The sequence below is a fragment of the Homo sapiens genome, chromosome 12 (assembly GCF_000001405.40).
Source record: "Homo sapiens chromosome 12, GRCh38.p14 Primary Assembly".
NCBI lineage: Eukaryota > Metazoa > Chordata > Mammalia > Primates > Hominidae > Homo > Homo sapiens.
In genome coordinates this window covers 50420364-50445912 of record NC_000012.12, presented here as the reverse complement: position 1 = coordinate 50445912, position 25549 = coordinate 50420364, and the positions used below count along the sequence as shown (strand labels likewise).

Sequence of the window (25549 nt, the reverse complement as noted above, 5' to 3'; positions counted from 1 at the left end):
AGGACTCCAAGATGACCCAGATGTCAGACTGCAGACAAAGTTTTAATACAGCTCTTACAAGTACATATATTCATGGATAACATTTATGTTTCTAATAAATTGAAATTAAGGGGAAATCACAGCAGAGAGAGAAGAAATATTTTGAAAAATGGAAACTCTAGAATACAGCATCTAAAATATTCACTGGACAGTCCTATCACATTGGGGACAGCAAAAGAAAAGTTCAGTGAACTTGAAGATGAACCCAAATCCACAGAAATGATCCAATCTGGAGAACAACAACAACAACAAAAATAGGTTGAAGAAAAATGAACAGAATCTCAGTGACATCAATCAGTCCAACATATGAAATTGGAGTACCAAAAAAAGAAAGGAGAAGAGAGGGCAGAAAAAATTTTTGGCAAGTATTTGGAAATTCCCCAAATGCAGTAAAGAATATCAACATACAGAGCCAAGAAGTTTAGTATTTCCCAAGTATAATAAGTAAAAGCATACTAGACACACCATAGCCAACCTACTGGAAACCAAAAATAAAACATCTTGACAGCAGGCAAAGAAAAAGGACACATCATATACAGGGGAAGAACCATGTGAATGATGGTGAACATCTCATCAGAAACAAGAGTCCAGAATGGTATCTTAAAAGAATGGAAAATAATTTTAGCTGTCATCCCTGCATTCTGTATCCATGGAAAATACTCATCACAAATGCTGGGCGCAGTGGCTCACGTCTATAGTCCCAACACTTTGGGAGGCCTTAGTGGGGGGATCGCTTGCCCTCAGGAGTTAAGAGACCAACCTGGATGACACAGCAAAACTCCGTCTCTACCACAAAAAAAGTAGAAAAATTAGCTGAGCATGGTGGCATGCACCTGTAGTTGCAGCTAACTCGGGCCGGGGGTGGGTGCGAGGCAAGAGGAGGCTGCAATGAATTGAGATTGTACCACTGCACTCCAGCCTGGGTGATAAAGCAAGACACTGTCTCAAAAAAGAGTGTGAAATACCAGACATTTTTAGTTAAGGAAAAACTAAGAGAATTCGTTGCTGGTTGGTACTGTAACAAACACCAATGGAAGTTCCTTAGGCTGAAAGGAACTGATACCAGTTATTTTCAGGCATAGAAATCACAATTGAAACAGAATGAAGCACTGCCTCTTAATGAAATCATCAATAAATTAGGAAATGAGTGGATAAACATTATCCACTTAATGTCCCTTTCCTCCAACGTCATCACTTCTAAATCACAGAACTTTAGAAATGAAGAGCATGGACACTACAAAGAAACAAACCAGAACCTTACAGGTTGGCCTGACATACTCAAGATACAACAGCTGGTGGCAGAAAGCACCACCAGGATTGGAGTATAGCATTCCTTGCTTCTGCACCTGTCTTTCCAGGTGTTAGGTCATTTGATTTTAATAAATGGTATAAAAGTTAATGTGAATTTTCTTGCAACTTATGTTGCTATGTGATGGCTCATCAAAAGAAGCATAAAGAAAAACTAAAATGGCAGAGAAAAACATTACTTATAATAAAATATTTGTGTTTTTACTACTATATCTGAGACCCCCAGCAAAAGCAATAGAAATAAGAAATGGGAGGTATAAGGAATAATCAAAATAGTGATTATCTGTAGACATTAAAACATTAAAAAAAATCAGTAAGACACCAAGAAGAAAAAGCAACCAAAATTATTTTAAAGTAGTAAAAATGAATTGAATTAACAATGAAATACATAATAGTTACCATAATAATGAATAATGTAGGCTAAAACAACCAGCTGTCCCCAATTTAACCAATAAATTGAACAGAATTCCATTAATTCCATTATAGATTTTGTTTGGCTGTTTGTTGGAACTAGACAAATATTCTAAAATTGTTTGAAAATGTAATGATCTAAGAAGAGCCAACACAATCCTGAAAAATAGGGTCAAGGACAAAGAACTAGCAGAAATAAATAAGGATATTATAAAATGATGATAATTAAAACAGTGATATCTGGCCAGGCAAGGTGGCTCACACCTGTAATCCCAGCACTTTGGGAGGCCGAGGTGGGTGGATCACCTGAGGTCAGGAGTTCGAGAGCAGCTTGGCAAACATGGCAAAACCCCGTCTCTACTAAAAATACAAAAATTAGCTGGGCGTGGTTGTTAGGCACCTGTAACCCCAGCTACGCCGGAGGCTGAGGCAGGAGAATCGCTTGAACCCAGGAGGTGGAGGTTGCATTGAGCTGAGATTGTGCCACTGCACTCCAGCCTGGGTGGTAAGAGTGAAACGCCATTTCAAAAATAAATAAATTAAGAAAATAAAATTAAATTAAATTAAACAGTGATATCCAGGAATGCAATCATGGTGTGGTGGCTCACATCTGTAATCTCAGCACTTTGGGAGGCTGAGATGGAAGGACTGTTTGAGTTCAAGAGTTTGAGACCAGCCTAGGCAACATAGACCCCAACTCTACCAAAAATTTAAAAATTAGCCAGGCATGATGGTGTGCACCTGTGGTCCCAGCTACTTGGGAGGCTGAGGTGGGAAGATCACTTGAGCCTGAGAGGTCGAGGCAGCAGTGAGCCGTGATCATGCCCCTGCACTCGAGCCTAGGTGACAGAGAGAAAGAAACCCCAGTCTCAAAAACAAAACAAAACAAAACAAAACAGCCATATTGGTTCAGGGAAGCAGAACTCAAAGAAAACAGAGAATCTGAAACAAATCTCATAGCTGCAGAAGTTGCAGAAGAATAGAAATGACAAAAAATTAAGTGTTGAAATAAATGTCTTTCCATATATGGGGAAAAATAGAACTAGATTCCTATCTTATACTATATATAAAATTAATTCCAGATATACCAAAGACCCACTTCTGAAATACTTTAAAACTTTAAAGCTATTAAGAAGACTCAGGAGAATATCTTTATAAAAGCCTCAAAGCAGGGAAAGATAAAAGGGAGAAGAACATCATAGACAGAGGAAGTAGAATGACAGCTAGAAAACAGCCTCATCTGTAATATGGAAACTAATAATCCCACCTACTTCACAGCAATTATGAGATTTAAATATGGTAAGTTCTTAGAACCTCTTAATAAATGTAAGTCACTGTTATCCTAGTTCTTCCACTTACTAGTTATGTGAAACTAGGTAGGTTACCCTCGTGTCTTATTATCCTCACTAGGAAACTGAAGAAAACAAAAGCACTATCTCATTAGGTTCCTGTAAGGATTAAATGAGTCAATACATGTAAAGTGCTTAAAACAGAAAGTGACACACAGAGTTCAACACAGAGGGATTAGTAAGAATAATGTATTACATTTACAAATAAGAATAACTATAGCACACAGGGAATGAGGATCAAGTCGAACTAAGTGTATGTTACTGGATTATGGTTTAGAACACTAGCTCTGGTAGCAATGTGAAGAACAGATTGTTAAGGGGGGGAAAAACTGGTAACACAGCAGTTAAGAGGCTACTCCAAGTGTTCAAGCCTAAACAATGGGAGATTTTTGGAAAGCATTTTCACAGGACCTGAGAACAGATTAGACATGTAAAGACAGGGATCAAATGTGTCATCAGTGACAATGCCTAGGTTTCCAAATGGTTGTATTGATGGTACGTAGTGATGCAGTTAATTGAGATGAGGTTGAAAGTACTGTGAATATTTTTCATCTGTTACTAAAAATTATTTCTATTGCTCATTTTGAGATCTGGAATTATCTCATATGTTGTAAATCAGCATCTAATTAAACCTCATGCTATTTGAAGTTACCCCTTTGTAAAGAATTGCTGTACACAAAGTATTTTTATGGCTTATCAAAGGATTTTCTGAAGTAGCACATAATACAAGCCAGAAAATTTGTTGTTGTTGTTTTTGAGACAAGGTCTTGCTCTGTCCCCCAGGCTGGAGTGCAGTGATGCAATCTCTGCTCACTGCAACCTACGCCTCCCGGGTTAAAGCAGTTCTCCTGCCTCAGCCTCTCAAGTATCTGGAACTACAGGCGTGTGCCACAACACCCGGCTAATTTTTTCTATTTTTAGTAGAGATGGGGTTTCATCATATTGGCAAGGCTGGTCTCGAACTCCTGGCGTCATGCTATCCACCTGCCTTGGACTCCCAAAGTGCTGGGATCACAGGTGTGAGCCACCACGCCTGGACCAAGCCAGAAACTTTTTGAAAGTCACTATGGGTTTTTATAAAATATTATCTGTCTGTATTTTTTAAATTCTCATACAGAGAACCAAAACCTGTTCTGGTTTCACACTGATCTCTATTTCTTACCATAATTGGCTTGCCCTGAAATGTTTTAACTTCTTCTCTTAAGTATTTAAAAGCCTGTTAACAAAGCACAAAAAAAACTTTCATTAGCATTCAAACATTTCAGTAAAGTTATCTTTATTATGTTGAGAGTTTAGTATTAAACTATAAAAACAAAATTATGTAGGTGATTCCACTGTGCAGGTGGACAGGGAATGAAAAAGTAAAAATGTAACGCCTTCTCAATCACAGTTCATATTTATTGTAGAAAAGCCACCATGGATTACTGCAGACAAAATGCATTAGGATTGAAAACAGACCCAAAATATCCCTAGAAACCAATTTAAAAATGATCAACTTTCTAATAAATTGTTTTAAAAAATAAAAATCTGTGAGTGATTTTTAAACACCCTTATCATAGATATATTTGTGTTTCAAAGGATTATTTCTCTTTAAGACATGTTAACAATTAAGAATAAAACCATCACCGGGTGCAGTGGCTCATGCCTGTAATCCCAGCACTTCGGAAGGCTGAGGCAGGCGAATCACGAGGTCAGGAGTTTGAGACCGGCCTGACCAATATGGTGAAACCCCACCTCTACTAAAAATACAAAAAATTAGCTGGGTGTAGTGGCGGGTGCCTGTAATTCCAGCTACTTGGGAGGCTGAGGCAGGAGAATCACTTGAACCCAGGAGGTGGAGGTTGCAGTGAGCCGAGATTGCGCCACTGCACTCCAGCCCGGGCGACAGAGTGAGACTCCGTCTCAAAAAAAAAAAAAAGAATAAAACCATCAAGTCAAAATTCCAAGAATTTTGTTTATTGCAGACCTATTATGTACTAAAAATACCACTAGGTACATGGTTCTCGATCCCTATGTTAATTTTAAAACTGTTATGTTAATATTCTTATCGACAGAAAACAAACTTCCTAAATCAAAACTGAAAAACTTTAGGAAGATGATCAAAAAGGAAACCAATTGAGCAAAAGCAAAAGGGTGACCAAGGTACTCACTAGTCTTGATAAACATCAGTGTAAACACACATTTTCTCAATTAAAATATACCACTACTTATTTTGCCACTAGGATGGACTTGTATCAGAAAATGTTTTCTTCTTACCTGTTGTGCATCTGTGTCTGACTGGAAAGTGATATACCAGTTGCTATTGTGTGCAAACTCACAGCTTATCACTTTGGGGCAGTTTTCACTTTTGAACAAACCTTTCACTTCCTAAAAAGAAAAAGAAAATTAGTTAACTCTAAAAAATACATCAATAATTGGCATTTTTTGTTGGTTTGTTTACTAGTAATGTTAAGCCTATCTTCATGTCTTTGGTCCTATCACTTCACTTAACTTTTGCCCATTTTTCCACTGAGGATGGGCTGTTTCAAAACAAATACAGAGTTAATAGGAGATATATTTGAGTCTGGTCTCAAACTCCCGGATGCAAGCGATCCTTCCGCCTGAGCACTCCAAAGTGCTGAGATTACAGGCACGAGCCACTCCACTTGGCCAGGAGATGTATTTTGTACATGATTTTGGGATGATTTATTTTACAATAAGCAAAGCGTAAGTATTTCACTTCCAGTGGCAAGCTAAATGCTTAGTGAAATCTCCCCTGTCCTTTTCCTGCCTGGCCTCCCACAGGACAAGTGATATCTTTCATTAACATTTTCTAGGCAATACAAATTTTCACGCATTCTCATTTAATCCAGTTGCTTTGCTTACAACACATACATTAGTTAATGTGCAAACATATCTTCTCTTTTCCGTAATTAGTATAAATGTAAACAGAAACTCCAACAGCTATATGGATTCAGAAAAAGGGTGACTACCAAAACTCAAAATGGTAAAACTGTTAATGGATTGAAAGAAGCTTATTAAAAAAAAAAATTAAGTGAACATTAAGTATCCTTAAGAAGTAACAGAAGGAAAGAAAATATCTACTGAAATAGCAAAGGTCAAATGCAGCCTGAGAGCTCAGTGGCTCACTTCTGTAATCTCAGCACTTTGGGAGATTGAAGTAGGGGAATTGCTTGAGCTCAGGATGAGCCTGTACAGCATAGCTAGACACCATCTTTACCAAAAAAAAGTGAAAATTGGCTGGGCATGGTGGCTGGCTCCCGTAGTCACAGCTACTTGGGTGGCTGAGGTAGGAGGACTGCTTGAGCCAAGGAGTTTGAGGCTGCAATGAACTATGATCGTACCACTGTACTACACCCTCAGTGACACGGCAAGACCTGTCTCAGAAAACCATTGATTGAGGAAAAATTTCTTAACATGAAAAAAAAATTTTAAAAGCAAAAAACAAAAAACTCCTCAAAAACCCAACAAAACATTTGGTACCTTGTTTTATTTACTGTTTTTCATGTGTATGAACTCTTTATGTATTCAGAATATGAATTGTAATAACCGCAAAAATGATAATGAAATGGGGCACAGTGGCTCACGCCTGTAATCCCAGCACTTTGGGAGGCCAAGGTGCACAGATTGCTTGAGCGCAGAGGCTTGAGAACAGCCTAGGCAACATGGCAAAACCCCATCTCTACAAAAAAGTACAAAAATTAGCCAGGCATGGTGGCATGTGCCAGTAGTCCCAACTACTCAGGAGGCTGAGATGGGAGGATCGCTTGAGCCCATGAGGTCAAGGCTACAGTAAGCCATGACTGTGCCACTGCACTCCACCCTGGGTGACAGACTGAAACCCTGTCTCAAAAAATAAAACAAAATAACACTCTGTTCTAAATAGCTAATCAATTACAATGTCAGTTACTAATTATCCTCATCTTCTTTAATGTATATCACCTTATCATGGCAACTTAACATGAAGCTCTGTGGCACAGTGATTATGAAACATGGGCTTTAGAATCAGAGAGATCATGTTCAAACCCAAACTCCTGTCATTTAAGAGCCCTTGTATCCTTGAGCAAGCTACGTAACCATCCTAACTGTCAGTTATTTCATCAGTAAAACAGGCAATAAAACCTTTGGCTTTAAATAATTGCAAAGTAATAACTGGGAGAATCTAATTGTCAAATTGATTATAATGTATCATTCAAATATTATTTTATTCCGGTACGTGTACCATACCATCTTTATGACTGCAACTTTGCTTTATATAATATTTCGCTGAACAATAGGGTTAGTCCTGCCTCCTTAATCCCTTTTTTTTTTTTGAGACAAAGAGTCTCACTCTGTAACCCAGGCTAGAGTGCAGTGGCTTGATCTCAGCTCACTGCAAGCTCCCAGGTTCACACCATTCTCCAGCCTCAGCCTCTCAAGTAGCTGGGATTACAGGCGCCCACCACCATGCCTGGCTAATTTTTTGATTTTTAGTAGAGATGGGGTTTCACCATATTAGCCAGGATGGTCTCCATCTCCTGACCTCACGATCCGCCTGCCTCAGCCTCCCAAAGTGCTGGGATTACAGGCATGAGCCACCCCGCGCCCAGCCCTGCCTCCTTAATCCTTAATCAAAATCTAGTTTTTCATTCATTCTTACAGATGAATTCTCAAGTTCCCAAAATAGCCTATTTATATATTAGTTGCCATTGAATCAATCTAGTAAATTCAGAATGTTTCACTGCAATACTTTGTCTACCCTTCTAAGAAAATAGAACTATATCTTTTCCTTTCTCTATACCATCCTAGTACTTCAGAATTAATGAAACAAATTAGTATTTAACCTTTTCACAGTAACTGATGAAGGCACTGACTTATGCTTTGCTTGTGTACCTCTTCCAATTTTTCTTCTTTGCCACGAAAGGCAGAAGAAACCTCTTTTAATTTAAACAGAGAACATTTAGTGTTAACAATTATTAATAATTTACCTCTATTGGTGTTGTTTCAGGAATCTCTCTAAGAATTACAATACAACGCTTATGACTTGGTCTCACTTTCTCACCCTTCTCATCAACTTGTACCATGGGAGAAGCTGAAATTTAAAAGAAAGGGTATCACTCAAACGTGACAAGTAGTGATATTATTAATGCCATTAAAGAAACTATTCATTTTAATTTCCAACTGAGTAAATTTGCAGAGGCTGGGTTAATATCCTAAAGAAACTAAGTTGTAGAATCAAAGATTATAGGTATGACAATTTTTTGGAGATTTGTATGTAAAGAACACTGTCAAATGTTATTCATTGAAAAAACATTCAGAGTACTTAACAGAGTAAGTTTGGCACTGCCTTCAGGGAGCATACAACATATATCTAATAAGGCAAATTTCTTGTATATAATAACCAAATTCTTCATTGAGGAGATAACAAATGGATGTTAACAGAAATTAGTGTACTTTCATTGGCCAAACACTATGTTGAGGAGTATAATGAAATCTGATATATGAAGAAATTCTTCCTAAGATTAAAGTTCAAGAAGCCCTTAAACTAAGAACTATATGCAAATTATAAGCTATCCAGGATTTCAACTTACTTAATCTTGCATACTACTACAGAGACCCAAAAGCCATCTTTTAAATGCTGATTATGAGGAAATATTATACTAAATATAGTAGCAAATAGTCCCTTCATGGAGTTAATATACCAGATCTCCATGAACAGGTAAGTAGAATAAAATAAGCAGTTAAGTGTGATGGCATAGGTATAATAAGTGCCAAGTTCCAGCCTAAACAGGTGGGAGATTCTGCCTCTCTTTGCCAACTTTTAATGCAGACAAGATTGGGTCATTTTAAGAAATGATGTCTCTACAAACCAATGAGAGATTCCATAAATGTTTGTAATCCTCTGTAATGTTCCATAAATGTTTGTAATCCTCTGTAATGTTCCATTAATGTTTGTAATCCTCTGTAATGTTCCATAAATGTTTGTAATCCTCTGGAAATGGAAATCTATTCCACTGTAAGTCTATTATCAGACTTGCTATATTTAACTTTTAAACATGTTCAACACATCTCATATAAAAGTGAAGATCTGCCTTATTCAGTCAAATAGTTAACAAAACCCACTCTTAAGAGGTTACCAAGAAATACTGATACAAGACACAAAATCCAGCAAAAATTCTTAAAGCTTCAATCAAGAAATAAAAATTCATTACCAAACTTCAGAGCAGTATTTGTCAAACTGCCCACAGCAACTCATTAGTAGGTTGTAAAATTAGAAACAAGTTTGTTACAAATATTTCGGTCAGGTGTAGGTATATGGTGTATATTGAACTGTCACGAAAAATGTACTTCTTATTTGGGTTTAAAAACTTGAAAGAGATTGTCTTAAAGGTTGTGTGATAACGATACATATCTAACACTCCAGAAAAATGAGACTTAATTGCTTATACTTCTTAAGTGGGCATGATGATAAACAACCAAGGTGCAGAATTATTACAGAAGCTGTATATAGGCCGGGGGTGGTGGCTCACGCCTGTAATTCCAACATTTTGGGAGGCTGAGCAGGATATATATATATATACATACACACATATACACACACACACACCCCCACACACCAGTCAGTAGCGGGATATATATATATATATATATACATACACACACACACACACCCCAGCGGGATATATACACACACACACACACATATCACACACACACACACACACCAGCGGGATACACACACACACACACACACACACACACACACACACACACAGAGTCAGTAAAAATGGGAAGCCAAGGTGGGAGGACTGACTCAGCCAAAGAACAAAGACCAGCCTGGGGAACATACCAAGACCCCACCTCTATACAAAAATTTAAAGATTAGCCAGATGTGGTGGTGTGCGCCTGGGGTCCCAGTAACTTGGGAGGCTACGAGGTAGAAGGATGGCTTGAGCCCAGGAGTTTGGGGCTGCAGTGAGCTGTGATTTGCACCATCACACTCCCGCTTGAGTGACAGAGTGAGACCCTGTCTTTCACCACAACCCCCGAAAAAAAAAAACAAAGAGAGAGAATTCGGAACAAAACAACAAAATAAGGGTGTGGGGAGGGGGCAGTAAAAATAATTCCCTATATGATCAGAAGTCGAAATAACATTTTACGTTTAAAAATTAAAAAAAAAGCTAAAAGGTATTTTTACATACATCTTAACACTTCAAGAATTAGATCAGGGTCTGTAGTCAACTTTTTTATTTCTTCCATGTTGGCAACTGTCCAAATTGGGATGAACTGATCACTATCCATTTGAGATATCAAGTAAAGATCCTTTGACAAATTTTCTCTGAAAAAACAAAATAGTCCTATAAAACAAGCAATTATTAAAAAGCATCTAACAAGAGGTATCTTACTCACTTTTCCTACTTTTTAAATGCATGGAAATAAGATTATTCTATCAGAAATAACATTAAACTTTTCAGTGAACTCTAAAAAGTTGTTAAAAGTTCAATTCAAAAGATACTAATGTAATATATACATAAACATTAGTTAATATAACTTTTACAGTATCTCAATTCCCAAACACATCTAGCACAACATTGGACAATTATACTGATACATAAAGAGGTTTAATATTACAAGTAGCACTTTAACAAAACATTACATATAGCAGAGTTCCATCTTATAAATACTTCATCAGTGATATTAGAATATGCATGATAAAAACTGTAGCTGAACTGTGAACTGACTCAAGAAGGATTTTCCATTTCTGTTTCTTTTTTTCCTGAGACAGAGTCTTGCTCTGTTGCCCAGTCTGGAGCGCAGTGGCGCAAACTCGACTCACTGCAAGCTCTGCCTTCCGGGTTCAAGTAATTCTCCTGCCTCAGCCTCCCGAGTAGCTGGGACTACAGGCGCCCGCCATCACGCTCGGCTAATTTTTTTTTGTATTTTTTAGTACAGACGGGGTTTCACCGTGTTAGCCAGGATGGTCTCGATCTCCTGACCTCGTGATCCATCCGCCTCAGCCTCCCAAAGTGCTGGGATTACAGGCGTGAGCCAGCGCACCCTGTCCAAAATACGTGTTTTAAATTATTTAAGTCAAACATGCTTATATAAATACACACATTGGCTGGGTGCGGTGGCTCATGCCTGTAATCCTAGCACTTTGGGACGCCGAGGCGGGTGGATCATTAGAGGTCAAGAGCTCAAGACCAACCTGGCCAACATGGTGAAACCCCGTCTCTACTAAAAATACAAAAAATTAGCCAGGCTTGGTGGTGGGTGCTACTCGGGGTGCTGAGGCAAGAGAATCGCTTGAACCTGGGAGGCGGAGATTGCAATGAGCCGAGATCACGCCACTGCACTCCAGTTGGGGCAACAAGGGCGAAACTCCATCTCAAAACATAAACAAAAAAAAAAAAAGAAAAATAAAAAATATATATTTAATATTAACACAAAAGATTCTTTAAGGTACATTAAAAAAAGAAGATGCAAACACTTGCATCTTACACATAAAATCTTGTTTAATAAACTTAGGTAAAATCAAATTCACACCTTGCTATTCACATCAAATATTCTTTGAAGCAGTCTGGCTATAAATAGCTGGAAGTTTTTGCTTATAAGGCCCCTTCTCAAAGAGTACTGTTCTGATCACCCTATTTAAAACTGCAACCACCCCAGCATTCCTGATTCCTGTCCTTGCATTTAATTTTTTTCCCATAGCACTTATCTCCTAACATACTCCTTATTTATTATGTTTGTTTTGTGTTCTCACAGTCAGAATATAGGTTCCATGAAGGATCGCTGCTGTTCAATCAATAATGTATTTCAACTGCCTAGTGCCTGGCAAGGAGCAGGCTCAAAGGCCCTTACTTTTACATTCTATTAAAATAGAGGCCAGGCATGGTGGCTCACACCTGTAAACCCAGCACTTTGGGAGGCAAAGGTGGGTGGATCACCTGATATCAGGAGTTTGAGATTAGCCTAGCCAACATGATAAAACCTCGTCTCTACTAAAAACACAAAACTTAGCCAGGCACGGTTGTGCGTGCCCGTACTCCCAGCTACTTGGGAGGCTGAATCAGAAGAATCGCTTGAACCCGGGAGGTAGAGGTTGCAGTGAGCCGAGATCGTGCCACTGCACTCCAGCCTACGCAATAGAGTGAGAACTCCATCTCAAAAAAAAAAAAAAAAGATATTCCTTAAGAATCTGAAAATAAGACAACTATAAACATAATTTTTGCAAAACTAAAAAGCTGTAGCCTAAATGAACTCTGAAATTTAGCAGGTCTATTCTTAAACAGTGATTCAACTCTTAGCTAAAGAAACTGTACCTTGTCAGAAGTAAATCAAATTAATGGATATAACATCTAAGATTTGATTATTCATGAGTAATACCTGATATGTATTAATGGCAATTTTGCTGAGCTACAAATGTCAATTACCCAGCTGGTTCGAACTATATCACAGTCCTGAGTAGGATGTGATGGATCATGACAAGTAGGAGCTTCCACTGCAACAACTAAAAAAGCTGGGATAAACTACAAAAAAAAAAAAAAAAAAAATCACGTTTTTGGAGATCTGGGAAAGCTGTGGAAGCTTCAAGCACAAAATGACTAAAATGCCCCAAAGAAGATCTTTCCTTCCTGAGAGCATTTGCAGATCTTGACTCAGACTCTCCTGGACAATAGAGAAACCAGCAGATCTCCAGGCAGTTGTGTATAAGTATGTGGTAAGTGTAATGGGCAAAGAACTAGAATTATGAATGGAAATTATGGGAGCCACCAATACAGCTGATTTTCCCCATAAGATGTTTCCTGAGTTTTAAGGAGGAAGATGGGAGATTGAGAGTCAGGCTGAAAAGACAGTAAAATCTATGTGGTCTCGTGATTAAGTCCCAGTGCAAGCAAAAATGCGGCAAACGCAAGTCTCCCCGATAAGACACTGCCAGCTTTTCTTTTTTTTTTTTTTTTTGAAACGAAGTCTCGCTCTTATTCCCCAGTCTGGAGTGCAATGGTGCGATCTCGGCTCACTGCAACCTCCACCTCCTGGGTTCAAGCGATTCTCCTGCCTCAGCCTCTCGAGTAACTGGGATTAGTAGTGCATACCACCATGCCCAGCTAATTTTTTGTATTTAAGTAGAGATGGGGTTTCACCATGTTGGTCAGGCTAATACTGAACTCCTCACCTCAGGTGATCCGCCTGCCTTGGCCTCCCAAAGTGCTGGGATTACAGGTGTGAGCCACTGCGCCAGGCCAAGACACTGCCAGATTTTCAAGCAGTATGGGGTAGGAAGTTAAAGAGCTAAATCTCAAACCTCTGTATTAGAGATCTAAATCTCCTTGGTTTTGTAAGATTAGGGTGACACAAAACTGCCAAGCTCTAAATCAAAAGCCTGAAAGGGCCATGTAGAAGGAATAGAGCTAAATCAAAGGTGAACTGAGTCCATTTAAAATTGTTGCTCAGCCCTGACCTAGCTCAGTTCCTGATTGGATTGAAGCAATCAACATATCACTCTCTGCCTAACAGAAAAAAAGCTCAAACTCTGTCTAGAGTTATATCACCTACATCTTCTATGGTTCTGTTGTATGTAATGTACAGCATAAAATCAAAATTTACAAGACATACAAAAAGGCAGTAAATTATTACAGATAATTCAAGAGAAGAAACCCAGACAATAGAAGCAGACCCATAAATGATCTAGTTAGTAGGTAAAATTCACCCAGGCTGGAGTGCAGTGCTGCAACCTCGGCTTACTGCATACTCCACATCCTGGGTTCAAGCAATTCTCCTGCCTCAGCCTCCAGTAGCTGGAACTACAGGGCCACGCTACCACACCCCGCTAATTTTTGTATTTTCGTAGAGATGGGATTTTGCCATATTGGCCAGGCTGGTCTTGAACTCCTGACCTCAGGTGATCCACCTACTTTGGCCTCCCAAAGTACAGGCTAAAGTAAATATTACATGAATGTTTTTGTTTCCTTGTTTTTGAGGTGGAATTTCGCTCTTGCCGCCCAGGCTGGAGCCCAGGAATAACCTCAGCTCACTGCAATCTCTACCTCCCCGGTTCAAGTGATTCTCCTGCTGCCACCTCCCGAGTAGCTGGGATTACAGGCGCCCACCACCACACCTGGCTAATTTTTGTATTTTTTATTAGAGACAAGGTTTCACCATGTTGGCAAGCCTGTTCTTGAACCCCTGACCTCATGATCTGCCCACCTTGCCCTCCCAAAGTGCTAGGATTACAGGCATGAGCCACTGCGCCTGGCCCATTATTCTTATCTGTAAATAAGACTTCTCCAAATGTTTGCCTGAAAGGATTCCTTATTTAAGAGAAGACATTGGCAATATAAATTATCTGTCCAACTCCTTACTATTTTGCCAAAAATGACTCTATGATTAACATTACAAGAATCAACTATTAAAACATGCATTAAGAAATAACTTTTTGTCAATTCCAAAATTGAGTATGTTCATAGAAAAAACATCCAATGCAAACTTCATTATCTTTATATTAAGAATAGATCCTCTGCATATCAGACTGGAGACTACACTTTTTCTTTTTTGAGATGGAGTTTCGCTCTTGTTGCCCAGGCTGGAGCGCAATGGTGCGATCTCAGCTCACCACAACCTTCGCCTCCGGGGTTCAAGTGATTCTCCTGCCTCAGCCTCCCAAGTAGCTGGGATTACAGGCACGCACCACCATGCCCCGCTAATTTTTGTATTTTTAGTAGAGACGGGGTTTCTCCATGTTGGTCAGGCAGGTCTCGAACTCCCAGCTTCAGGTGATCCAGCCACCGAAGCCTCCCAAAGTGCTGGGATTACAGGCATGAGCCACAGCGCCCGACCCTACACTTTTAAATCTAGACAAGGGGCCGAGTGTGGTGCCATACGCCTGTAATCCCGACACTTTGCAAGGCAGAGGAGGGCAGGTCACATGAGGTTGCATGTTTGAGACTGGCCTGGCCAACATGGTGAAACCCTGTCTCTACTAAAAATACAAATATTAGCTGGGCATGGTGGCTGCACGCCTGTAATCCCAGCTACTCTGGAGGCTGAGGCACAAGAATCTCTTGAACCCTGGAGGCGGAGGCTGCTGTGAGCCGAGATCACACCACTGCACTCCAGCCCAGCGACAACATGAGACTCTGTCTCAAGAAAATAAAAAAAAAAATTAGTTAAATAATAATCACCATCCTTGCGCTCTATTTCACACGTATTTTACATCTACTAATAAAATTCAATAAAGGGGAAACAGCAATACCGTGAAAAACAGAATTCTAATTGTTTCTTCAGACATTCTTTTAGGTCTTCTGTAGAAACTGCTGAATTGCTTTCTCCTGATGGTAGAAAAGAAGAGGGAAAAAAAGTTAATAGCATGTTAGTAGAGGTGATAAATCTGACATACTGTTGTACTCAGAAGCCACAAAGTATCTACAATCAAAATTCACCACAAAGCTATTGTTTCAGAGAAACAGGGTCTCCCTTTGTTGCCCAGGCTAGAGTACAGTGGTGTGATCACAGCTCAGTATAGCCTCAACCTCCTGGGCTCAAATGATCCTCCCACCACAGCTTCTTGAGTAGCTAGGACCACAAACTTGTGCCATGATACCCAGCTAACTTTTTATTTTTATTTTTTTGTAGAGACAGGCTCTCATTATGTTGCCCAGACTGTTCTCAAACTCCTGGGCTCAAGCAATCCTCCTACCTTGGCCACAGGCATAAGCCACTGTGCCTGGCCCAAACTGTATTTTTTATTATTTTTATAATTTGGACAGTTCAAAGTCTAACTAATTTCTGTCAATCTAGATATTCTTTCATCAGATACATTTCATATTAGTTTAAGGTTATCTTTATCAAAAAATTAACAATGCACAATACTAAAAGCACTTAAAGGCCGGGCATGGTGGCTCACGCCTGTAATCCCAGCACTTTGGGAGGCCAAAGGCAGGTGGATTACTTGAGGTCAGGAGTTTGAGACCAGCCTGGCCAACATGGTGAAACACCATCTTTACTAAAAATACAAAAATTAGCCAGGTGTGGTGGCGCGTGCCTGTAATCCCAGCTACTCGGGAGGCTGAGACAGGAGTATCACTTGAACCCAGGAGGCAGAGATTGCAGTGAGCCAAGATCACGCCACTGCACTCCGGCCTGGGCAACAGAGCGAGACTCCCTCTCAACAACAACAAAAAAACAACAACAAAAAAACACCAATTGCTTACCATATCACTTCAACTCTATGTTCAAAGTAGGCAGTTGTTTATATATAGACACACAAAATTTTTTTTTCAGACACAGTTTCACTCTGTCACCCAGGTTGGAGTGCAGTGGCATGATCTTGGGATTATAGGTGCATGCCACCATGCCCAGCTAATTTTTTTTTTTCAGTATAGGACAGTGTTTCACCATGTTGGCCAGGCTAGTCTCAAACTCCTGACCTCAAGTGATCTGCCCGCCTGGGCCTCCTAAAGCGCTGGGATTACAGGCATGAGCCACCCCGCCTTTTTTTCTGTTATCTTTAATTTCACGCTTTCCTTTAATAGAACCCTCATAAACAATCTTAACATTACAAAAGTCATGTTATCTGAAAACAATGTAACAATCAACTAACATTTCATTAACGTAACCTTCTTTTCAAATAAGAAAATAATGCCATAGGTTTATCAGAACAAGTATAAAGAGACCATGGGTGGGGGGTGTCCTGTACTGAATTCTCATTTTAACAATAAAACCATAAAGTTTACCGGAAACATCATATATTTGGTAACTCAGATCTTCTGGTCCTAAAATCATCCCATCAGTTGATTCTTCAATGCCTGTAGTATTTCTTGTGGTTTCACAAGATGAAGAATACATTACTTCATATTCTTTACATATATCTTCTGAGAGCTCTGCATTACCTGTATTAAAGACAGACACTGAAAGTAAATGGGAATTATTTAAATTCTATTCTCAGGAACTCTGGGCAGTATGTCACCTATAAAAAGATTTTAAGGATTTCTACCAGTTTGAAATATGTCCGCATGGTTTTAAGCAAGAGTTATCATTCCGAGGGAGATAAGTTTTGACAATTACAGATAAACTAAAATGATCAACAATTGCTAAAACGTATATAGCATTATCCATGTATCAGACTACTCCATGCACTTTATTCATTTAATTATCAGAAAATCCTGTGCTGTAATTAAGATTGCTTCTGTTTTACAGATGGAGGGAAAAAAGCATAGAGAAATTAAGTTATTTGCCCAAGGTCGAACAGTGAGTAAATAGCAGAGTCAATGATGGTAGATAAAAACTAATTTATAAATATAATTATTATAGATGGGTTGCATGCTGGACCCAAAAACACGGCTACTACTTGAAATTAGTGGCAATCTATTCATGTTAGATATAAATGAGAATTATATACAAACTACATGTTAAACATTTATAAATGCTGGATGCAGTATGTTTAAAGGAAGAAAAATTGATAAATATACTTAATCAAATAATCAAAGGATATATCCTGGCCAGGCATGGTGGTTCACACCTGTAATCCCAGCACTTTGGGAGGCCGAGGCTGGTGGATCACTTGAGGTCAGGAGTTCGAGACCAGCCTGGCCAATATGGTGAAACCCCATCTCTACTAAAAATACAAAAATTAGCCGGGTGTGGTAACCGGGTGTGGGATTACAGGCATGAGATAAAGCCAGGCGCCTGTAATCCCAGCCACCCGGGAGGCTGAGGCAGGAGAACTGCTTGGACCCGGGAGGTGGAGGTTGCAGTGAGTGAAGACTGCGCCACTGTACTCCAGCCTGGGTGACAGAGGAAGACTCTGTCTCAAAAAAAAAAAAAAAAAAAAGAGATGTGTCTCAAGTTCAGTAAACTTGCTTGGCCATACATTTAACCAAACTGTGATTTTTATGACCAAATATTTAAGACTTACCCTCAGGATGAGCACCTGATGTAGCTGCTATTTCATGCCAAGAGCTTTCAGTTCCATGAGTTACTGGGGTGGCATCAGTATTTCCAGGAGCAATTTCTTGCCATACTTTGGCATTAGGATTTAAACCAGTTCCTTTAGATGCTACCTGCTAAATAATCGAAGGATCTATTTGTAAATTTTTAAAATCAGAGCATGAAAATTACAGATTCAGATAAAATCACTTTTCCATTACTTAAAAGTGGGGGAGAAACCCAATAATTATATTTAACAAATAATAAATAATATTAAAGTTTTGATCAACTTGAAAATGTGAGACATCTATATAAAATTTAGCTTCCTATATAATAAAAAATAGGTATCTCTAAATATTAAAACAGAAATACTGCCTAGGTGCAATGGCTCACGCCTGTAATTCCAGCACTTTGGGAGGCTGAGGCAGGAGGATCACATAAGCCCAGGAAGTTCGAGGCTACAGTGAGCTATAAACACACCATCACTCCAGCCTACATGACAGAGGAGACCCTGTCTCAGAAAAATAAATAAAATAGAAATGCTGCTTTACCCCAACCTACCTGCAAATGTCACAAAATTTAAACTATTTACATAACTTTTGAGACACTTGTGTATTTTTTCATCTACAGCAAATTTTTTAGTTATCTACAGTAATTTTCCAGAATATTATAAAATTTTATTGCCATCTAAGCTGTGATACTTTAGAGTCTGAACAATTCTATAACTAGAAATTTTATCACAAGATAAAAGCAGTGATGTGCTTTATATTGTAAATTTTTTTCCATCTGTCCTGCAAGTGTATGTTCTTAAAGTCCACAGCATAACTACTTTAAATAGTGCCATTTAAGGTAATCTCTTGAGGCAGGGCACGATGGTTCATTCCTATAATCCCAATACTTTGGGAGGCCAAGGCGGGCGGATCACTTGAGCTCATGAGTTCGAGACCAGCCTGGGCAACACAGAGAAACGCTGTCTCTACAAAACATACAAAATTAGCCAGGCGTGTTGGTGGGCGCCTGTAGTCCCGGCTACTTCAGATGCTGAGGTTGAAGAATGGCTTGAGCCTGGGAGACAGAGGTTGCAGTGAGCTGAGTTTGCACCACTGCACTCCAGCCTGGGAGACAGTGAGACTCGGTCTCAAAAAAGAAAAAAAAAAAAAAAAAAACCACACACACACACACACACACACACACACACACACACACACACACACCCCAAACATAATGCCCTGTTCCATGCCTAGGTTCATTCATATCTTGAGAGCAGGGGCTGAGCCTTGAAATGGTGGAAGTAGTGAGGAGTATTTTATCACTTACACGCTTTAGAATTTCTAAGTGTAGGATAACAAGCGTATACCTTTCAGTCATCTTTATTATTGTTTCAAAATTCTCTACAGAAAATACACCTGTTTTGTACCCACAGGAGAGCAGTACTCTCCCACCACTCTGCCTTTGGTAGCCACTGATTTGAAGCTGAATTGATTGATGAATGTGATGTGGGAATTTAGGTATCACATAATTTATTTGTGTGTTGGGGAGGGGGATAATCTATTTCAACAAAACTTGCTATTCATATGTACGCCCTAAAAAATAAACATTACAGCATAATAAGACGTACAACTAAGCATTCCACTGGACTGGAGGTGGGATGCCTACCCACCAGCAAGCCCACCCTAGTGTGCCATCTGAGGACCTGCAGAAAGGACAGTGGGAAGGAGACAGCAGCCTCAGCCCAGAGATCTCCCTATCCTCTTCCCTCAGGGAAGGGGGATCCTGACATTTGATCCTGACATTCAACACTTCCTGTCCTCCTCCTTGGTCAGGAAGACAATTGGGTACAGTGGGTGGAGGCGGGGAGGAGGTACAGAACCGGATGCAATATGAGAGTAGAGAGATTCTAGAGAAGGGCAAACTAGGGTGGGTAACTATGGAATTAAACGGAAGAAAGAAGCCTCTATTTGTAACCCTGGAATCCGGCAGGGGAAGAAGGAGGAAATGGGCAAGGGGAGGTTGGAAAGAGAAGCTGAGGAGGAGGGAACTTACTTATTTCTCCCTGCCTCTGCTGAACAGTTCCACTCCTTTATGTTAATCCCATTCTGAGACAGGCCCAGAGAAGTTCCAGTGACAAACTAGTAGTTTGTGTCCCAGGGGAACAAATGATCTAGGAAGTGAATTGCAGAGCTGGCAGGCAAAGCTGGGGTCCACCTCACTAAGACCCAGCTCCTGGCTCCTAGAGAGCTTTGGCACGGATGCCGTAGGTGACAATAAGAGATGATGAAGATGCTGAAGACCACCCCTAAGGGTGATAAACTCAAGCTCTTTGGGTACAGCATAATTTTTGACTGATAGCAGAACAGAACTCTGAGTAGCTTGTGATAGCCAAGCTCTCCTGCCATGTCAACAGTATTTGACATTAAGCATTTTTCAATAGGAGAAAATGCATGTATTTACATACTTATTCTCTCCCTCTCTTTCCTCCATTCTGAGAATACCAGATAGGTGCCTACCCAAGAAGATGGCAAATGGTAAAGGTACAGCTCTCAGAAACAGAGATCAAACATTAAATCCGAATAAATACAAAGAGTACAATATTGATCTGGTAAATAAGATCTATACATGAAAAAGATACAGTGAAAGGGCCATACACCTATTAGAAATACCCCTTACTCATAGAGTTGCTATGCATAGTAGTTATGTGGCTTTAGTAAAGCAAAAACATCATTTCAAGGTAGTTTTTTTTTTCTTCCTTTTTGAGACGGAGTCTCGCTCTGTTGCCCAGGCTGGAGTGCAGTGGTGCAATCTTGGCTCACTGCAACCTCCTCATCCTGGGTTCAAGCTATTCTCCTGCCTCAGCCTCCTGAATAGCTGGGATTACAGGTGCCCGGCACCACGTTGGGCAAATTTTTGTGTTTTTAGTAGAGACAGGGTTTCACCATGTTGGTCAGGTTGGCCTCAAACCCCTGACCTCAGGTGATCCACCCACCTCGGCCTCCCAAAGTGCTGGGATTACAGGAGTGAGCCACTGCACCTGGCCTCAAGGTAGTTTAATAATCATTATCTAAACACACAATGATTGAGATGCTGGAGTCACTCCTGAATCCAAAAACAGCTCTAATATGAACTTTTTATTATTGTGTGATCTTGGCAAAATTTCTTAACTCTTCTGAGCCTCAATTTTGTTAACTGTAAATTGGGGTAAAACATTCTTATTTTTATTTTTATTATTTTTAAAGACAGGGTTGGCTGGGCATGGTGGCTCACGCCTGTAATCCCAGCACTTTGGAAGGCCGAGGTGGGTGGATCACCTGAGGTCGGGAGTTCGAGACCAGCCTGACCAACATGGAGAAACCCTGTCTCTACTTAAAATACAAAATCAGCTGGGCGTGGTGGTACATGCCTGTAATCCCAGCTACTGGGGAGGCTGAGGCAAGAGAATCGCTTGAACCCCATAGACAGTGGTTGCGGTGAGCCGAGATCGGGCCACTGTACTCCAGCCTGGGCGACAAGAGCGAAACTCTGTCTCAAAAAAAAAAAAAAAGGACAGCCAGTTGTCCAGGCTGGAGTGCAGTGGCGTGCCCATAGCTCACTGTAGCCTCAAACTCCGGGGTTCAAATGATGCTCTTGCCTCAATCTCCTGAGTAGCTAGGACTACAGGCCTGGAACACCATGCTCCACTAATTAAAAAAAAATTTGGCAGAGTTGGGTTTTCATTATGTTGCCCAGGCTAGTCTCAAACTCCTGGCCTCAACAGATCCTCTCAACCTCAGCCTCCCAAATCACTAGGATTACAGGCATGAGCCACTGCACTGGGCCAAGAAGTCCTTATTTTAAAAATTACATGGCCGGGTGCAGTGGCTCATGCCCGTAATTCCAGAACTTTGGGAGGCCAAGGCCTTGGGTGGATGACCTGAGGTCAGGAGTTCAAGATGAGCCTGGCCAACATGGTGAAACCCTGTCTCTACTAAACAATACAAAAATTAGCTGGGTGTGGTGGCGGGCGCCTGTAATCCCAGCTACTACTCGGGAGGCTGAGGCAGGAGAATCGCTTGAACCCAGGAGGTGGAGATTGCAGTGAGCCGAAATTGCATCATTGCACCCCAGCCTGGGTGACAAGAACAAGACTCCGTCTAAAAAAAAAAAAAAAAAATTACAGGCCGGGGACGATGGCTCACGCCTGTAACCCCAGCACTTTGGGAGGCCAAGGCAGGCAGATCATGAGGTCAGGAGTTCAAGATCAGCCTGGCCAATATGGTAAAACCCAATCTCTACTAAAAATACAAACATTAGCCGGGCGTGGTGGCCTGCACCTGTAATCTCAGCTACTCTGGAGGCTGAGGCAGGAGAATCGCTGGAACCCTGAAGGTGGAGGTTGTGGTGAGCCGAGATTACGCCACTGCACTCCAGCCTGGGCAACAGAGCAAGACTCCGTCTCAAAAAAGAAAACACTGCATAGATTTTTTTATAAAGCATGTCAGTTTTGAATGGAAGGCAATTCTGCTGTCTCACCCTCAAAAGTATACTACACAAACACCGACGCATTCTATCAAAATAACTGTGTAAGTGAAGTTAAATGTAAACTATTATGTCATAGAAAATTAGCTTTGAAGAAACATAAAATTACAAAAGATGACTATAGAATGCTATAAAACTGAAACCTAAAAAACCTAAAAAGACTAAGAAAATAAAAATTTTTTAAAGGAAAAATGCATGGATGTAAATAGGAAAATAAAGTACTATTTATATTTACTAGTTTGGCAAAGCCCTTAAGAATAATTTTCCAGCCAGGCGCGGTGGCTCACGCCTGTAATCCCAACACTGTGGGAGGCTGAGGCGGGTGGATCACCTGAGGTCAGGAGTTCAAGACCAGCCTGGCCAACATGACGAAACCCCGTCGCTACTAAACATACAAAAAAATTAGCCAAGCATGGTGGCAGGCATCTGTAATCCCAGCTCCTTGGGAGGCTAAGACAAGAGAATCGCTTGAACCCAGGAGTCAGAGGTTGCGGTGAGCCAACACTGCCCCATGGCACTCCAGCCAGGGCGACAGAGGGGGACTCGTCTCAAAAATAATAATAATAATAATAATAATAATAATAATAATAATAATAATAATAATATAATTTCCCAACTGGCATAGAGTTGGCGAAAATCCTTTTATGGAGACTATATAAAATGATTCAACTCATATTTCTACATATATTAGCATTATTTATGAATGCTAAGAAATGCAAATAACCCTGTTTAAACAGATGAGGAATACAGGAAATGATATACTTACTAAATAAAGTATTACACAGCAATCCAAAATTATAAAGATATCACATTAACACATCTTATAACTCAGATGGATACTAATATCACAAAGAAAAAATTGCTGTTTATTCAGCTATCCTACATCAAATATTTTAAGATTTACCCCAATTTTCAAAGTTAAAATGTGCAAAAATATGCATCTCAGGGTTGATTAAATATGGAAATGTATGAAAACTGGAAAATGCTTTCACATAATAGAGTGGAAAAAACAGCTGTAACTGCTATAATAACAAAAGCAAACGTGTTAAACTAATTCTGTGGGCTAGGCACTGTATAGAATGCTTTATATGTATCATCTCCCCTACTTTTTAGAACAATGTAGGTCGGGGGCAGTGGCTCAAGCCTGTAATCCCAGCACTTTGGGAGGCCAAGACAGGCAGATCACTTGAGGTCAGGAGTGTGAGACCAACCTGGCTAACATGGTGAAACCCTGTCTCTACTAAAAAAAATTAGCCAGTCGTGGGGGTGGATGCCTATAGTCCCAGCTACTCAGGAGGCTGAGGCAGGAGAATCACTTGAACCTGGGAGGCAGAGGTTGCAGTAAGCAGTGATCACGCCACTGCACTCCAACCTGGGTGACAAAGCAAGACTCCATCTCAAAAAAAAAAAAAAATCCAACCAATGTAAGTATTAATATCTCTTTTATAGATTATCCCATTATGAGAGGTACAGAGTAATAACAAACCCAATTAAAGACATAGAAAGATGAAATATGAAGGAAGGATTCAAACCCAAGGCAGCCTGACTCCAGAAACAAAGGATTAACCACACAATGATTACAACTCACAGATTATTACAATTGCAAGAAGTACCTAAGCATGTGGTTATAGGCGGGAAGGAAACATGACCTGCTATAGTAACCAGACCAGATTGGTGTTCTCCCCACTTACAAAGTATTATTTATTTATTTATTTATTTATTTATTTATTTATTTATTTATTTTGTGATGAAGTCTTGCTGTCTCCCAGGCTGGGCTGCAGTGGCAAGATCTTGGCTCACTGCAACCTCTGCCTCCAGGGTTCAAGCGATTCTCCTCCTGCCTCAGCCTTAAGAGAAACTGGGATTACAGGCGTGTGCCACCATGCCCGGCTAATTTTTGTATTTTTAGTAGAGACGGGATTTCACCATATTGTCCAGGCTGGTCTCGATCTCCTGACCTCTTGATCCTCCCACCTCGGCCTCCCAAAGTGCTGGGATTACAGGTGTGAGCCGCTGCACCCAGCCTAAAGCATTCCATTAAAATGCTGCTTTGAGTCATAAAAAAATATGAAACTTAAGATTATTGCATCTAGTACTGATTTTTTCAAACCAGAGCATATTACAGTACGTTAAAAGCCGGCTGGGTACGGTGGCTCACGCCTGTAATCAAAGCACTTTGAGAGGCCAAGGCGGGCAGATCATGAGGTCAGGAGTTCGAGACCAGCCTAGCCAACATACAGCGAAACCGTCTCTACTAAAAAATACAAAAATTAGCTGGACGTGGTGGCATGCACCTGCAGTCCCAGCTACTTGGGAAGCTGAGGCAGTAGAATCGCTTGAACCCAGGAGGTGGAGGTTGCAGTGAGCCGAGATAGCGCCACTGCACTCCAGCCTGGGTGACACAGCGAGACTTCATCTCTCCAAAAAAAAAAAAAAAAAGCAAAGGTTATTCTGTACCTTCAAATATATTAAATACATAGTATTATTTTAGATTTATACCTGTCAACATTTACTTAAATTTACATGATGAATGTTGACCATTTTCTTTGTTCATCGTTCTTTCTTGCATCTCGGAGTTTTCTTCGGAATCATTTACCGCCTACCCAAAGGATATCATTCAGAACTTCTTAGTAAATTCTCTCAAGTTGTGCTTTCTCTGAAAATACATTTTTAACCATCCTTGCCATATACAGAATTATCAATAGGCATATAACCCCTTTCAGGCACTTTAAAGACATTCCTGTACTTTCTGGTTTATACTATGGCTAACAAGCAATCAGCCATCAGGTTAGCTGCCATTCTTAATCTCTCTTTACTCTCTGATTTGTTAATGAGGTTTTACGATCATTAAAAGTCTAAGTGTGAAATTGTTTTTTATCTGATATAACTGGGATCTGCTGAACTCCCTGAAATCGTTCATCAATTCTGTAAAATTCTCAGCCATTCTCTCTTAAAATATTCACTCTCCACAACTGCTCTATTATTCTCTTCTGAAACTCCAATAAAATATATGCTACCTTGTC

At 40.1% G+C, this 25549-nt stretch overlaps 1 protein-coding gene across 62 annotated transcripts in view; it reads right to left on the bottom strand.

The window, feature by feature from the left end:
- The window catches only part of LARP4 (La ribonucleoprotein 4), a 79120-nt gene that overhangs the window by 34092 nt on the left and 19479 nt on the right, over window positions 1–25549 (bottom strand). For 33 of the 62 annotated variants that reach the window (XM_047428212.1, NM_001352312.2, NM_001352317.2 and 30 more), the window contains 7 exons: window positions 18004–18151; window positions 16823–16978; window positions 15343–15418; window positions 10289–10425; window positions 8075–8178; window positions 5364–5474; window positions 4270–4323 (listed from right to left, as the gene is read on the bottom strand). In XM_047428212.1, coding sequence (XP_047284168.1) covers window positions 4270–4323; window positions 5364–5474; window positions 8075–8178; window positions 10289–10425; window positions 15343–15418; window positions 16823–16934 — 594 coding nt within the window. In that variant the 5' untranslated portion in view covers window positions 16935–16978; window positions 18004–18151. Of the gene's footprint in view, window positions 1–4269; window positions 4324–5363; window positions 5475–8074; window positions 8179–10288; window positions 10426–15342; window positions 15419–16822; window positions 16997–18003; window positions 18152–25025; window positions 25115–25549 lie in introns of those variants that run through there. The other 29 variants (XM_047428213.1, NM_001352309.2, NM_199188.3 and 26 more) reach the window with 6 other exon arrangements.